The sequence below is a fragment of the Homo sapiens genome, chromosome 3, assembly GCF_000001405.40.
Source record: "Homo sapiens chromosome 3, GRCh38.p14 Primary Assembly".
Taxonomy (NCBI): Eukaryota; Metazoa; Chordata; class Mammalia; order Primates; family Hominidae; genus Homo; species Homo sapiens.
Window position 1 is genome coordinate 142,740,152 of NC_000003.12, and position 17,777 is coordinate 142,757,928.

Consider the following 17,777-nt stretch of genomic DNA (forward strand, 5'->3'; position numbering starts at 1 on the left):
CCTGGTGCCAAAAAGGTTGGAGACCGCTGTGAGGAATTGACAAATCTTAGTGAATATTTTGATTTGGAGTGGGAAATTGAAAAGGAGTCCAGGATGATTTGGAAATCTTAAACGTGGGTGACTAAGAGAAGGAAGAAAGGAAAACATTAAGTTCAGAAGCTAAGTAAAGCTTGGGGCAAGGGAATGTGAATTCTGGTTTTATCCTTGTTGATTTGGCAGCTATCAGGCAGTCCTCATCAGACAAACACAGATGAACATTATATTTCTAGGGAGAGATCAGGCTAAAGAGATACAGTAAGCTGTCAGGGCCATGGGAATGCCCATCACCATTGTGAGAGTAGGTGAAATCATGGAGAAGAGCAAAGGGCTGGTGCAGATTCATTCTTAAGGAAACATCTACATTTAATAAAGAGCATTACATGGAAAGAGTTTCATTAAAGACCAAATGAATTGTTGAAGATATCAGAGGCAGTTAGGATAATGCAACATTGTGAAAGCCAAAAGAATAGTTTTTAACATATTGGCTTAGAAATTAAGAAAAATTAGAAGGTAGAAAAAGTAATTGGACTTGGAAACTGGCATCAGTAGAATTGGAGAAATGATACACTTTGATTTGCAAAGTTTGACACAATGAAAGGAAGAAGAAAACGAGTGGTAAGAGAAAGATGGAATTAAGTCAAGTTAGCAAAGAGCTAGTAAGCAAGTTAGCAAAGAGTGATGAAGGATTTAAAGTTCTGGGAGGTGGGAGATTAGACTGGTATTTCTGCAAATGAAGGACCAGGGTTCTAAAGATTGGAGAGCATCAAATAGAATACTAAGGTGGAAAATGTAGCTTTGGAAAGGAAATACGTAACTTTTTTACTCTGAGCTTAAAGGAAAGAGTATGGGAATTGTTGAAAAGATAAATTCTAAGGTAGGAAGGAAGATAATGATCTCATAAATATGTAATAAGTATATATTGAAGAGCTTTTAATAAAGAATCGTCAAATATCTGAGAAATTGGAAAGCAAAACTAGTGAGGATTTTTTGTATAACTATGTATTTTTAAAATAATTTAAAACATTTATTTCTCTCATAACTGCCATTGATTTATCAAATAACATACCATTTGTGCAGAATAAGTAAATGGTAACTCCTTATTTACAAGAAATTTTAATGTAAATGAATATTTTTATAGCTGAAGCTTATCCTTTTAAGCATTGAAAGATTTAATGTAAATCTTTATTCCTTACTAAGTAATGTATCTGAATATAATTTAACTTTACCATCCTTAGTTGGAATAATTGAGAATGTAATTATTTTACTTTGCTTCATATGGTCTGAAACTATTAACATGTTTGTCCTTACATTAAGTGGCTTTAGACTGTTGTGCATTGATAGTGATTTTGCTGTACTGGTATTTAATCTTTTCAGTAGTCAACTTTTAGTAATTCTTTCTTCCTTTCCCTCTACGCTGTTGGTTTTAATCTTGCTATTCTTTTATTCAGTAAAGATCTGAAGGATACTTGGGAAAGCCAGATATTCATCATTTATGGACAATTCTAAATCAGAATGCTTGGGTCTGTTTCTTTTGGGAAATAATACCCATGGAGTTTCTTTGTGACAGCTCAATATGTTGCTGTTTTTAAATCCATGGCTATTTTTCAGATTGTTGAAGTTCCCTGGTGTTTGACTTTGAAAGTAATGACATTACTATAGTTAGCTTTATTGGTTAAAATTAAAAATCATAGGCTGGGCGCAGTGGCTCACGCCTGTAATCCCAGCACTTTGAGAGGCCGAGGTGGGTGGATCTCTTGAGGTTGGGAGTTAGAGACCAGCCCAGCCAACAGGGTGAAACCCTGTCTTTACTAAAAATACAAAAATTAGCCGGGTATGGTGGCATGCACCTGTAGTCCCAGCTACTCGGGAGGCTGAGGCAGGAGAATCCCTTGAACCTGGGAGGCGGAGGTTGCAGTGAGCCAAGATTGTGCCACTGCACTCCAGCCTGGGTGACAGAGCAAGACTCTGTCTCAAAAAAAAAAAAAATTAAAAATCATAAATGAAATATTTAATAGTAATGGATATAGCATTCTTTTTGTTCATTTCCTTCAACTGATTAAATATGCTAAAATCTGAAGAGAAATGTTTGCAAAGCAGAGTAATAATGCTAGGACTTTAAAGCATAGGCCACAGCTCAATGAACCCTGAAAGTTTTAAGAGATAGTGCAATGGGTTAAATTTCCCATCTGGGTGGGAAGTTTTTCTGTGGGAAAACATAGGTGATTCCTAAGGGTTGAGTGAGGACTCCAACCCTTTTTTTTGAGGTGCATAGTCCTATTTTTAGATATTCAGGTAAAGTCTGCCACTTTTAGTTCTATTTTTTACATCCAGATAAAGTGAATATAAACTTTACTCTTTTCAGCTACAAAGAATATTAAAGATCGATATAGTTTTGTTTCCAAGAGCAAGAACATTGATTTAAATAGTTATTAATGATTATAGCAGTTAAAATGTACAGATTGAAAATAATTAGGGCATTTTCTTAGATTAAATCATTATTTATCCCCATGTTTTCCTTCTTCCTTTATATTTTTCCCTAAAAATCCAAAAACCTGATGTTATAGTTGCCAGTAGGACTATAGGCTTTGTTACAGAGTTGAAAAGTCCCCATTTCCTCAGAGTCTCCTTACTTTTTCCTCTTTCGGATCTTCACAGTGAGCTATAGACTGGGAGCAGAATGATAAAGTCACTTCTCCCTCCAGTCTCCATGAACTTTGGTAGCCTAACTATTTGTGGCTTATACTTGATAAAATTGCTCATAAATGTCAAATTTGTAGCATTTTAGTCAGCCATGTGTTTTAAAAATGAGAACAGAAGGCTCTCACCTTTAGATATTCTCCCTATATTCCTGTTTGCATTGATGATAATCATTTTCATTAGACTGAAAAAAATCCTTTACCTGTAGTAATAGTTCTTGACAGTTTCTTTTATAGATTTGGATTGTTAAGATTCTTTTGGTCCACAGTTCAAGAGTAAGGATCTTGAAAAAAAATTTTCAACTTTAAATCCTGCATGGATCAGCACTGTTACTCTAATAATCCCTTCAATGAGACATTCATTATTTTACCAACTCATGCATTGAAACCAGGACAGAAACGTGTGTATTGTGGTACACAGAAGTACTCCTAAGGCAAGCAAATGTACTATTTGTACAGTCAAAATTTTTGAAAAATTTTGTATTACTGTATATAATACAGTTTAAATTTTTAAAAAGTTTTATTTATGAATTAGTAAAAAGAAGTAGTTTACCTTTTTATCTTCCATTTTCATTTTTAACTTTTTTTTTTTTTGAAGTCTGCAGATGCACTTTTGGTGGCAATCGACTCTGAAGTAGTGGGAGCTGTTGATATACTACTTAATCATCGACCAAAACGATCATCAAGACCAACTATAGTAGTTAGTACTCTTAAATATTTATTAATTTGGATTTTTAAACCAAAATAGATCTCTTGCCCCATTGCCATTTTTTCCTTCCCTCAAATTTATTTTGTTTTTTCAAAAAATAGATATTTTTTCTCACTCTGTAAAATATTAAAAGTGGACACTTGCAGGAATAATTAGTATTTCTTTCAGGAAAACTTTTTAAATTTAGTTGATATTTCCATAATTTTGTCACTGTGGACCAGTATTTACCATTTGAAATATTCTGCAGGTAATGTTGAAAATATAGATTAGTTTGCAGATAGATAAGAATTAAATGTAAACAATGAAACCAACAAACTGGAAGAAAATGTAGGTGAATGTTTAACTGATCGTGAGTAGAAAGACTTTATGTGCATAAAAGCAATGGACAGAAATCACAGTGGCACAGTTTTTGCTGTTAAAAAAGTTAAATTTTTGGAATCCAGACATCAGACAAAATTTAGAAAGCAGATGAATAACTGGCAAAAGATATTTGCAGCATATATCATAAATTAATAATCTTAATATTGGACAAATTGGTGAAAAACATATTAGAAAAGGACATAGAAATAGCAGAAAATACAAAATGTTAAATCTTAATGATAATCAAATACAGTAAGATACTAATTTTAAACTTACCAAATTTACTTATTAAAGTTGAAAATTTAAAAAAAATCATTGATAGCAAGGGAGTATTACAGTCTCATGCTACTAGTGAGGCAGGTATTTTGGAAAGTGTTTTGGCAGGATCTGTCATAAGAAAGGTGTTCATATGCTTTAACTTAGTGCTTTCTCCTCTGGGAACTTATCAAGGAAATGGTCAGAAATGTGGACAAAAATGTTGGTTGTGATCTTATTTGTAGTAATTTTTAAAAGCCCATGTGACATAATCTAAACATTCCAAAATAGAAGATAGGAAATATAAATGATTACATATATGTACAATGGAATATTATGCAGTCATTAAAACAGTACTTTTAAAAGAATAGTTAGGAACATGGAAAAATATAACGTAGTAAGTGGAATACTTACTATGGTTAAAATACTTACCACGGTTAAAAATATGCGTAGAAAAGGGACTGTGTGGAAATGCAACAAAATGTTACCTAACAATCATCATCTCTCATTGACTAACCAAATTATGGATTTTTTTGTACTCTTTTTATTTTTCTTTATTGCTTTTGTAATTAGGAGGATAGTCACTACTAAATAAATGCTAATTTTATTGTTTTTTAATCAAATTTTAAACATGATAACATTCATTATTGGTGACGATACCGTGAAACAAGCAGTTTAAATAACTGCTGGCAATATAGGCTGGCTATAAGCAGAAGAAAAATACTGTTTTAAGAGAGAATTATAAATTGGTTGTTGACTCTCTGCCATGTTTGAGAAATGTGAGAGGCTCTGCTAAATTGCATACTTTGTTATATAGTAACTGAAAAATCTTACTCATTCAGACTATTACAAAAGTGTGACTTTCTCCAGAGGATAGTACCATCTAGTTTAAGTGGTGGTAAGAAATCAACAGGAATAAGGAACAAAAGGCTAAGAATATAGTCCCTATCCAAAGCATCAGAAATATCTAAAATACCATTCAATTTTCTGCCACTTATCTTGCAGTTATTATTATATTTTGGCACACCTGTCCCATCTTCTAGCCTTTTAGTCCATTTCCTTTCCTGGGGGAAGGGTGGGGTGTAGTGTGCTTGAGTACTGGAACCATTGACTGGTTTTATTCATCACCATTATCACTAACGATTAAATCTTAGTGTTGGCAGCCCTCACCTACTTAGTAAAATAACCTTTGGGAGGCCGAGGCGGGTGGAACATCTGAGGTTGGGAGTTCAAGACTAGCCTGACCAATATGGAGAAACCCCATCTCTACTAAAAATAGAAAAATTAGCCGGGCGTGGTGCCGTGCACCTGTCATCCCAGTTACTTGGGAGGCTGAGGCAGGAGAATTGCTTGAGCCTTGGAGGTGGAGGTTGCAGTGAGCTGAGATCGAGCCGCTGCACTCCAGCCTGGGCGACAGAGCAAAACTCTTCTAAAACAAAAAAGAAAAAGAAAAGAACACTTTCTACTCTGTCTCTAACAAATAAAGATTATTCAGCCTTTATTTAAATACACTCAATGACAGCAAGATCATACCTTCTTTTATTTTATTTTATTTTTTTGAGACTTAGTTTCGCTCTTGTTTTGTTGTCCAGGCTGCAGTGCAATGGCGTGATCTCAGGTCACTGCAACCTCCACTTCCCGGGTTCAAGTGATTCTCCTGCTTCAGCCTCCGGAGTAACTGGGATTACAGGCACGTCCCACCATGCCCAGCTAATTTTGTATTTTTAATAGAGATGGGGTTTCACCATGTTGGCCAGTCTGGTCTGGAACTCTTGACCTAAGGTGATCTACCCTTCTCGGCCTCCCAAAGTGCTGGGATTACAGGCCCAGCCAAGATCATATCTTGATAGCCCTTTTACTTCTAGAGAGGCAATATTAAATATTTTTATATATTTTAAATAACTGAGGGAATATAAACTGGCTATAAGCAGAAGAAAAATATTGTTTCTTTTAGCGTTTCAGTAATGGTAATATTCTTTTAGCATTTCAATGAATTCATTCTGTATTCTTGGCTTGCCAGATTGTCTTTTTGGCAATTGACTTTCAAATTTAGGTTTTTTATTTAATAGTATACAGATTATATTATGAACAATGGAATTATGAACTTTAATCTTATGCATATCTAGTGATGTTTTTCATACAGTTAAGTATGTTTCATAAGAAACATGAGGACCACTTTTCTCTTAAGGGATTAAATATATTTTATTCTTCTTTATAACCAGTAATGCAATGATAAGATGGAAAAGGGCTAGTTTTAGGTTTCTCTGTAATTTTAAATAAAGTCATTAATTTGAAGTCCTCAATAAATAAATAAGTATATAAACAAATTAGTCATAAAAGAGGAGGAAAATCAGATAAGTATATCAGAAAATATTAAAACTTACCAGTGATCAAAGGAAATTAAATTACAATTTCATGATAGTATTTTTCACTATAAATTGGGAGTGATCATGCCTAAGACGGGTGAGTAAAACTTTAGTGTGAAATGGGTACCTCCTTATATTATTGGTAATATAAACTATTAAAAGGACTTTAACAATATGTTTCAAGAGCTTCAAAACTGTTCATGGCCGGGAGGCGGAGCTTTCAGTGAGCCGAGATAGTGCCACTGCACTCCAGCCTGGGCGAAAGAGCGAGACTCCACCAAAAAAAAAAAAACTGGTCATGGCCTTTAGACCCATAATTCTGCTGCTGGGCTTTTATGTTAATGAGATAATCCTAAATTTGCAAAACACTCTTTTCATAAAGACGTTTATGGTAAATTAGCAAAATAAAATACTTGAACACAGAATCTATGAACTTCCTTAAATTGCATATAAAATTATGTGCATGAATTATTTTTTTCTGAAGATTCTGGGCTATGTAAAGATCCTGCTTTATGGATTATTAAAAGGGTCCCTGATCTTGGAGATATTAATGACCACTGTTTAATCATTGGTCCTTAGAATACCTACTGTTTATGCCAAAGATGTCCTTAAAAGGGGGGTGTAGTAGAAAAAGGATTAAAATGAAATACTGTACTGGAAAATGTTCCTTGGGTAGTAGGAATATGGGTATTTTTAAAATTCTTTCTGATTTTCTACATTTTCAGATATTTTATAATAAGTATATACACTACTTTTATAATATTGCAAAAAAAAAGTAAGTATTAGAAAATACGATAGTTATAAAATAGTCAACCTTTTTATTTAAGCCTGGTTCTTTAATTACTAATGGTATTTTCCTCATTTCATGCTCTTACCACACCCATGGACTCCTGTAGTGGAAGGAGCTCCAGCTCTAGAGTAATACAAACCTGGATTCTGATCAGCACCCAGCCACCCTGTTTGTGGCTCAGGCACATTAACTTCTCTGAGCCTCAGTTTCTTCGTGGGGATTATAATGCTTGGTTTTGCAGGCTACTGTGGCAATTAAATGAGATGATAAATGTAAAGTGCCTAACAGTTCCAGAACTCATTAAATACTAGCATTATTGTTAATTTTTTGGCGTTTATAGTAGGAAGTAGTATATGTAATGATTGAAAATGTGTAGAAAATTATACAAAATGAAGAGTGCTTCCTATTGCCCTTTTCAAGTAGCTGCATTGCTGTCAATGTGATAAGGTTTGCCATAGAGGTGAAATTCTTAGTTTTTCTCACATGTTAATATTCTCCCTATTTTTTAGCATTTTTATTTTTCTAATATATTTTTCTAACATTCTTCTTTATTTTTGTCAGGCATGATTCTATAATCTTGTGAAAATTAAACACTTTTCCCTAAGATATTTCTCTAGATATTCTCACTTCTTTGTTGGAAAAAACAGACCTCTAGTTAAATGAATGTTACCTATTGAAGATTTTGTCTGTTATGATTACATTGCATTTATTAATTAGAGTTAAGTTTTGAGGTTTCAAAGAAAAATTTAGTCCAAGCAAAATGTTTAACATATTCCTTAAATAATTCTTAAGTTCTTTGTGCCTTCCTATTTTTTCATTTCATTCTTCAGATAAATATATTTTTTGAAGTCACAAATAATAACTTTGGACATTTATATAAATATTTTTCAGAAACTAATGGAACGAATTCAGAATCCTGAGTATTCAACAACTATGGATGTTGCACCTGTCATTTTAGCTGCTCATCGTAACAACTATGAAATTCTTACAATGCTCTTAAAACAGGATGTATCTCTACCCAAGCCCCATGCAGTTGGCTGTGAATGCACATTGTGTTCTGCAAAAAACAAAAAGGATAGCCTCCGGCATTCCAGGTTAGAACATTAAACTTTTGATAAATAGATGTGTGATATATATCAACAATGTTGATTTTTAAAATTGGTATTCTTTCTATGCAGCTTTTAAGAAATGTGATGCTGGGGTGACTTATGAAAGCCAAACTTGTAGCTCCTTTGTTTTATATAATGCATTCTGCATTTTTAAGAAGTGTTCACCAAATGCTGAATAATTGCAAAAATCCTTCAAATTATGAATGAAGTTATCTCATACTCCTGCTGGCAGGGGCACTATTTGCTTTTTAGAGGCAGAGTTTATTAATCCAAGAGAAGTTCCAAGTCGTGGAAGGAGTGGAGATACCACCTCCTATCTCATTTATAAAGAAATCAAAACTATTTTCTGTCTAACTAAGTATTGACCTTTTATGCCTCTATCTTCCCCTCTCACACAATGTTCAAGTCTTTTTCTCTTTCTTATTGATCATCTCTTCCTGTTTCTTCAATTAAAAATGTTAAGAACAACTGAGGATTGATTGACCAAGAAAATACCCTGTCACAGGTTGAGCAAGATCACACGTGGGCATGCTGTATAAGATACATGGTGCTGGACTAGATTTGAGAATCTGATTTTCAGCAGAAACATTTATACATACAGTCATGTGCTACATGACATTTTGGTTCAAAAACAGTTCACATATATGACATCGGTCCTGTAAGATTAAAATGGAGCTGAAAAATTCTTATCGCCTACTGATGTCATTGCTGTGGTCACATCATAGTGCAACGCATTACTCACGTTTGTGGTGATGCTGGTGTAAACAAACCCTACTGTGCTGCCAGTCATTTAAAAAAAGTAGAGCACATATAATTTTATACAGTACATAATACTTGATAATAATGACTGTTACTGGTTTATATATTTACTATACTTTTATCATTATGTTAGTGTGTATTCCTTCTACTTATAAAAAAATAGTTAACTAAAACAGCCTCAGGCAGTTCCTTCAGGAAATATTCCAAAAGAAGGCATTGTATTCATAGATGACAGCTCCATGCATGTTATTACCCCTGAAGACCTTCCATTGGGACAGGATATGGAGGTGGAAGACAGTGATATTGATCATCCTAGGCTTAAACTAATGTGTATGTTTGTGTCTTAATTTTTAATAAAATAGTCTAAAAAGAAAAAAGTTAATAAAAAATTTTACAAAGAACAAAGCTGGAGGCATCACGCTACCTGACTTCAAACTATACTACAAGGCTACAATAACCAAAATGGCATGGTAATGTTACCAAAACAGATATATAGACCAATGGAACAGAACAGAGGCCTCAGAAATAATGCCACACATCTACAACCATCTGATCTTTGACAAACCTGACAAAAGCAAGCAACGGGGAAAGGATTCCCTATTTAATAAATATGTTGGGAAAACTGGCTAGCCATATGCAGAAAACTGAAACTGGACCCCTTCCTTACACCTTATACAAAAATTAACTCAAGATGGATTAAAGACTTAAACGTAAGACTTAAAACCGTGAAAACCCTAGAAGAAAACCTAGGCAATACCATTCAGGACATAGGCATGGGCAAAGACTTCATGACTAAAACACCAAAAGCAATGGCAGCGAAAGCCAAAATTGACAAATGGGATCTAATTAAACTAAAGAGCTTCTGCACAGCAAAAGAAACTATCATCAGAGTGAACAGGCAAACTACAGAATGGGAGAAAATTTTTGCTATCTATCCATCTGACAAAGGGCTAATATCCAGAATCTACAAGGAACTTAAATTTATGAGAAAAAAACAACCCCATCAAAAAGTGGGTGAAGCATATGAACAGACACTTGTCAAAAGAAGACATTTATTCGGCCAACAAACATATGAAAAAAAGCTCATAATCACTGGTCATTAGAGAAATCCAAATCAAAACCACAGTGAGATACCATCTCATGCCAGTTAGAATGGTGATCATTAAAAAGTCAGGAAACAGCAGATTCTGGAGAGGATGTGGAGAAATAGAAATGCTTTTACACTGTTGGTGGGAGTGCAAATTAGTTCAACCATTGTGGAAGACAGTGTGGTGATTCCTCAAGAATCTAGAACCAGAAATACCATTTGACCCAACAATCCCATTACTGGATATATACCCAAAGGATTATAAATCATTTTACTATAAAGACACATGCACACGTATGTTTATTGCAGCGCTATTCACAATAGCACAGAGTAGGAACCAACCCAAATGCCCACCAATGATAGACTGGATAAAGAAAATGTGGCAAGAATACACCATGGAATACTATGCAGCCATAAAAAAGGATGAGTTCATGTCCTTTGCAGGGACATGGATGAAACTGGAAACCGTCATTCTCAGCAAACTAACACAGGAATGAAAAACCAAACACTGCATGTCTCACTCATAAGTGGGAGTTGAACAATGAGAACAAACCACCATGGCACGTGTATACCTATGTAACAAACCTGCCATTCTGCACATGTATCCCAGAACTTAAAAGTAAAATTTTTAAAAATTAACAATAGTAAAAAGCTTATAGAATAAAGATATGAAGAAATAATATTTTGTACAGCTGTATGTGTTTGTGTTTTAAGCTGTTACTCCAAAATGGTAAAAAAGTTAAAATTTAAAGTTTACAAAATAAAAAAATTACTGTGAGCTAGGTTTAATTTAGTATTAAAGAAACTTTAAAAATATACATTTAGGGTAGCCTAAGTGTATAGTTATTATAAAGCCTGTAGTAGTACAGTAATGTTCTAGGCCTTCACATTCACTTACCACCCACTCACTACCTCACCCAGGGCAACTTCCAATTCTGCAAGCCACTGATGGTAAATGCCCTGTACAGGTATACCATTTTTTAATATTTTATGCTGTATTTTTACTGTACCTTTTCTATGTTTAGATATGCAAATATTTACTATTGTGTTACAGTTACCTACGGTATTTAGCATAGTAACATGCTATACAGTTTTGTAGCCTAGGAGCAGTAGGCTATACCATATAGCCTAGGTATTTAATGGGCTATGTCAACTAGGTTTGTGTAAATTCAGTTAATGATGTTCGCAAAACGATGAAGTTGTCTAACAACACATTTCTCAGAATATATTCCTGTTACACAATGCATGACTGTGTGTGTGTATGTAAATGGTAATTAAATATAGTTGAAATAGTATCAAATATAATACCTACTGTGGAGAATATCATCTGGAAGTCCCAGGCAGCCTGGTGACAAACTATTTTTAGGTTAAGGATTGTTAAACAGTATATGAAATAGACTTTAAGGCTGTAAACCATCCACCCTCACTCTTTCCTCACCTTAAGAACAAACCTTTGATGGATTTGAGATAGTGACAGATCTCTAATTTGGGAAAGTCTCCTGGGAATCAATCTGATGTTTATTTGCAGAGGTTTACCTGGAAATTTTTTCTATTTTCAAGTCTATTTTACAAAGAGATCTGTGTTTCTCTTTGATAAGATCTGGTTGATAGCGATGGCTACATCACTTAACTTTTTAGTTTTAAAATGACTAGTTTATAAAATGACAAGCAGAAATTATCTTTAAGGCTTTTTCCAGTTTTAAAATCCTTTATTAGTATTAAGTGAAGGGGTGGCCTGCCCCTCCACACCTGTGGGTATTTCTAGTTGGGTGGGATGAGAGACGGAGAAAAGAAATAAGACACAGAGACAAAGTATAAAGAAACAACAATGGGTCCAGGGGACTGGCACTCAGCACACCAAGGACCTGCACCGGCACCGGCCTCTGAGTTCCCTCAGTTTTTATTGATTATTATTTTCATTATTTCAGCAAAAAGGAATGTAGTAGGAGAGCAGGGTGATAATAAGGAGAAGGTCAACAAAATACATGTGAGCAAAAGAATCTATATCATGATTAAGTTCAAGGGAAAGTACTATGCCTGGACGTGCACGTAGGCCAGATTTATGTTTCTCTCCACCCAAACATCTCAGTGGAGTAAAGAATAACAAGGCAATATTACTGCAAACATGTCTCCCCTCCCGCCACAGGGCAGCTTTTCTCCTATCTCAGAGTTGAACAAATGTACAATCGGGTTTTACACCGAGACATTCAGTTCCCAGGGGCAAGCAGGAGACAGTGGCCTTCCTCCATCTCAACTGCAAGAGGCTTTCCTCTTTTACTAATCCACCTCAGCACAGACCCTTTACGGGTGTAGGGCTGGGGGACAGTCAGGTCTTTCTCATCCCACGAGGCCATATTTCAGACTATCACATGGGGAGAAACCTTGGACAATACCCTGCTTTCAAGGGCAGAGGTCCCTGCAGCTTTCCACAGTGCATTGTGCCCCTGGTTTATTGAGACTAGAGAATGGCAATGACCTTTACCAAGTACACTGCTTGTAAATATTTTGTTAACAAGGCACGTACTGCACAGCCCTAGGTCCCTTAAACGTTGATTTTATACAACACATGTTTTTGTGAGCTCCAAGTTGAGTCAAAGTGGCTGGGTCAGAGTGGCTGGGGCAAAGCTACAAATTAACAACATCTCAGCAAAGCAATTGTTTAAAGTACAGGTCTTTTTCAAAATGGAGTCTCTTACGTCTTTCCTTTCTGCATAGACACAGTGACAGTCTGATCTCTCTTTCTTTTCCCTACAATTAAGTGTGAATATTTTTCAAATTATATGCTTGTTAAATAAGTGTGTAGTTGAAGCAGCGGGGTCTTACAGGTTGAAGCTAGAGAAAACACTTTACCTGGCTTGGTTTGAGGTTGGGGGACAAACTTGTTTGAAGGCTTTTAGGGGAGCTATGACTTGACATAGATCTTTTAGTATGAGTAAGAGTTAAAAATTGAAAGGTATTTTAGGCAGAAAGTACAGCATGTGATTTGTTTATTTGGAAACTGCAAATGGTTTGGAACATTAACAGTAGAGTTTGAGAGAGTTTGTTAATGATCTTTGAGAAAACATTTGTACGAAATGGCAAGGACCCCTGACTTAAGTCATTTCTGGGAATTGCTAAGTAGAACTGCAGAAGAAAAGGAGGTTAACAAAATTAGTAAAAAGAGACCGGGCGCGGTGGCTCACGCCTGTAATCCTAGCACTTTGGAGGCCGAGGCAGGCCGATCACCTGAGGTCAAGAGTTCGAGACCAGCCTGGCCAACTTGGTGAAACCTCGTCTCTACTAACAGTACAAAAATTAGCTGGGCGTGGTGGCATGCACCTGTAGTCCCAGCTACTCAGGAGGCTGAGGCAGGAGAATCGCTTGAACCTGGGAGGTGGAGGTCACAGTGAGCTGAGACTCTGCCTCAAAAAAAAAAAAAAAAAAAACTTAGAGAAATAGCAAGGTTTCTCAGAATTTGAAGAGCCAATATACTGGCAGTAAGAAAGTGAGATGGCTGGACATGGTGGCTCACGCCTATAATCCTAGCATTTTGGGAGGCCAAGGCGGGTGAATCACTTGAGTCCAGGAATTCCAGACCATCCTGGGCCATATGGCTAGACCTTGTCTTTACAAAAATAGCCAGATGAGGTGACTTGTACCTGTGGTCCCAGCTATGCAGGAGGCTGAGGTGGGAGGATTACCTGTGCCCAGGAGGTTGAGGCTACAGTAAGCTGTGATTGCACCACCACACTCTACCCTAGCCTAAGTGACAGAGCGAGACTCCGTCTCAAAAAAAAAAAAAAAAAAAAAAAAGAGAGAGACAATTGTTTTTTAAATTTTAGAGATGGTGTAGTTTCAGGGTAATATTTCCTAATGGGCCAGGGAAGGGTAGTAAACCATTGTAGTTTAGAAAAACATTTTCAGTAATATAATAGCTGTGATTTGGTTTTAGTCTCAATATTTGATGTATTTTGAAACTTCAAATAACTTTAAAGAAGGAGTCTTTATTTATTATCTATTAGTGGAAGACAAAAATTTAAAAAAACTTGAGAAACACCGGAATTGGGAAAGATAGCAAAGAAATGGATTGCCAGTTAAATTTAATTTGCATAAAGTATAATAAAAAAAATGACGAGTTAATGTAATGGATGCAGCACACCAACATGGCACATGTATACATATGTAACAAACCTGCACATTGTGCACATGTACCCTAAAACTTAAAAGTATAATAAAAAAATAAAAATAAAAAACAAAAATTTAATTTGCAGAAGAGCTTTGTTTAACTTGCATAGTGTTTTTTATAATTTTGAATTTGAATGCCAGTAAGCCCTATGTACACTCAGCTTTATTCATATTATTACCAACATCACCCCTGAAGGCAAATGAATTTGTAAAACTTGGCTCAGTATCTACCAAGAGAGTAGGATGTTGGCTGGGGTCATGTTAGGAATATGGAATTCTTCTGGCATAGTGGCAGGAAAATGGCTTGGGAGAGAGACTGCTTAGTGCCACAGTCCTCAATGAATATACAAGAGTGACACGGAAGTAGGAAATGACAGTGATGATGATGAGGGAGTATTGGAATAACTGAATGGTATGAATCTCCAAAAAGGGTGATTTTGATATGAGAATGAATGAATAATATAGCCTGTAAGATTCAGGTATTGTGACATTATGCTTCCATATTGCCAGAATCTTTAAAGGGAAGTATTGTTCAATCCCAATTTTCAATCCCAATTTTTCTTTTCATTTCTAGAGCTAACCACTGTTACTAGTTTGGTATTCTACACGTGTTCCTTAATGGTTAACATTACCATTGGTTAGAAATGTTGAGTCTTGCTGGGCGCAGTGGCTCATGCCTGTAATGCCAGCACTTTGGGAGGCTGAGGCAGGTGGATCACCTGAGGTCAGGAGTTCGAGACCAGCCTGGCCAACATGGTGAAAACCCATCTCTACTACAAATACAAAAATATTAGCCGGGTGTGGTGGCAGGCACCTGTAATCCCAGCTACTTGGGAGGCTGAGGCAGGAGAATCACTTAAACCTGGGAGGCAGAGGTTGCGGTGAGTCAAGATTGCACCATTGCACTCCAGCCTGGGTGACAAGAGCAAAACTCCATCTAAAAAAGAAAGAAAGAAATGTGGCTCTTCGCTACAGTGTTAGATTGGAAACTAGTCTCATCAATGGCTTAGTTACATGTTAGAAATCCCTTCTCCCAATTTCTGCCTATACAGAATTCCATTCATGTTTCCTTTCCTTTTTTTATTGTTTGCCTGCCTTACTAATCTTGCCTCATTTACTCCAGTTCTTTTTATAGTTGCCCACATATTTAGGTTGAACCATATGAAATTAGTGTTTTAAAAGTACTTTGGACATAGGGAATTACATATTTCCATATTCTTATATTGGTGTGGGTGAAACCAAAACCCCAGAAAGTTACACAGATCATAATCACCTTACTCCATAGGGCCTCAAAAAAGGCTTTTTTTACAGTGTGGAAATGGATGATTTACAGTATGTTTAAAGTGTGTAACTATTACCATAATCTAATATTCTAACATTTCTATCATTGGAAAAAGTTCTCTCTTGCCTGTTCATTCATGGTCAATCCTTGTTTCCATCCCCAGCTCCATGCAACCACCAGTTTTTCTATTTTTGTAGTCTTTTCTTTACTAGAAATTTCATATAAATGGAATCATAAAATATCTTGACTTATGTCTCTGGCTTTCTTTTACTTACCATAATATTTTTGAGGTCCATCCATATTGTTTCATATGTCAGTAATTCATTTTAAAAATTGTTGAGCAGTATTCCATTGTATGGTTATAGTACCACCTTTTATTTATCTGTTCACTAGCTGCTCAACATTTGAGTTGTTTCCAGTTTTTGGCAGTGAACATTCACTTACAAGTCTTTGTGCGGACATGTTTTTATTTTTGTTGGGTAGACACCTAGGAATGGAATTTCTGGGTGTGTTAACTTTTTAAGTAGTTGTCAAACTGTTCTCCAAAGTGGTTGGAAACAGTTTAACATTTTTACTGGTAAGGTATGATGGTTCTTTTTTTTTTTTTTTTGAGACAGAGTCTCGCTCTGTTGCCCATGCTGGAGTGCAGTGGCGCGATTTCAGCTCACTGCAAGCTCCGCCTCCCGGGTTCACGCCATTCTGCTACCTCAGCCTCCCGAGTAGCTGGAACTACAGGCGCCCACCACCACGCCCGGCTAATTTTTTGTATTTTTAGTAGAGACGGGGTTTCACCGTGTTAGCCAGGATGGTCTCGATCTCCTGACCTCGTGATCCGCCTGCCTCGGCCTCCCAAAGTGCTGGGACTACAGGCATGAGCCACTGCACCAGGCCCTGGTATGATGGTTCTAATTCTGCCACATACTTACTGAAACTTGATATTGCTGGTCTTTTTTCTTAGTCATTTTAGCAGGAGTGTAGTGGTTTCTTACTGTGGTTTTAAAAATTTTTTTATTTCTTGTTGAGGTAAAATATATGTCTATAATTTACCATCTTTGCCATTTTTAAGTGTACAGTTCAGTGGTAATAAATACATGAATATTATTTTCTTTCCCCTTCATACATCCCATTCTTTCCTGGCCTCTGGTAGCCACCAGTCTACTCTCTATCTTCATGAGATCTACTGTTTTAGCTACCAAATACATGTGAAAGTTGTCTTTCTGTGCTTGGCTTATATCACTTAGCATAATGGCCTCAGGTTCCATCCATGTTGCTGCAAATTACAGGATTTCATTCTTTTCAATGGCTGAATAATATTCCGTTATGTATATAAACCATGTTTTTAAAATCCATTCATCCATTGATGGGTACTTAGGTTGAGTCCATATCTTGACTATTGTGTACAATGCTGCAATAAACATGGGAATGCAGATGTTTCTTGGCTATATTGATTTCCTTTCTTTTGGATATATATATATATGTATCTAATAGTGGAATTGCTGGATCATATGGTAGTTCTTTTTTTTAAAAAAAAATTATGTTTAAAATAATCCCAAAGGATTATAAATCATTCTATAAAGACACATGCACACATGTTTATTGCGGCACTATTCACAATAGCAAAGACTAGGACCCAACCCAAATGCCCACCAGTGATAGACTGGATAAAGAAAATGTGGCACATATATACCCTGGAATACTAGGCATGTAGACATGAATTCATGTCCTTTGTGGGGACATGGATGAAGCTGGAAACCATCATTCTCAGCAAACTAACACAGGAACAGAAAACCAAACACCACATGTTCTCACTCATAAGTGGGAGTTGAACAATAAGAACACATGGACACAGGGGAACATCACACACCGGGGCCTCTTGGGGGATGGGGGGCAAGGGGAGGGATAGCATTAGGGCAAATACCTAATGCATGCGGGGCTTAAAACCTAGATGACAGGTTGATTGGTGCAGCAAACCACCATGGCACATGTATACCTATGTAACAAATCTGCACGTTCTGCACATGTAGCCCAGAACTTAAAGTATAATAATTAAAAAAAAATTTTTTTGTGGGTACATAGTACATATATGTATTTATTGGGTACATGGGATATTTTGATACTGGCATGCAATAGTGTAATACTCAGGTCATGGAAAATGGGGTAT

At 36.0% G+C, this 17,777-nt stretch overlaps 1 protein-coding gene across 24 annotated transcripts in view; it reads left to right on the forward strand.

Annotated features, from left to right (window-relative positions):
• TRPC1 (transient receptor potential cation channel subfamily C member 1) overlaps window positions 1–17,777 on the forward strand; it is an 83,855-nt gene that overhangs the window by 16,118 nt on the left and 49,960 nt on the right. For 11 of the 24 annotated variants that reach the window (NM_003304.5, NM_001413363.1, NM_001413381.1 and 8 more), the window contains one exon: window positions 8,107–8,309. The exons of 4 other annotated variants lie outside the window; for them this stretch is intronic. In NM_003304.5, the coding sequence (NP_003295.1) occupies window positions 8,107–8,309 (203 nt within the window). Of the gene's footprint in view, window positions 1–3,333; window positions 3,436–8,106; window positions 8,310–17,777 lie in introns of all 24 variants that reach the window. 9 more of the 24 variants (XR_007095723.1, XR_007095722.1, NM_001251845.2 and 6 more) reach the window with 1 other exon arrangement.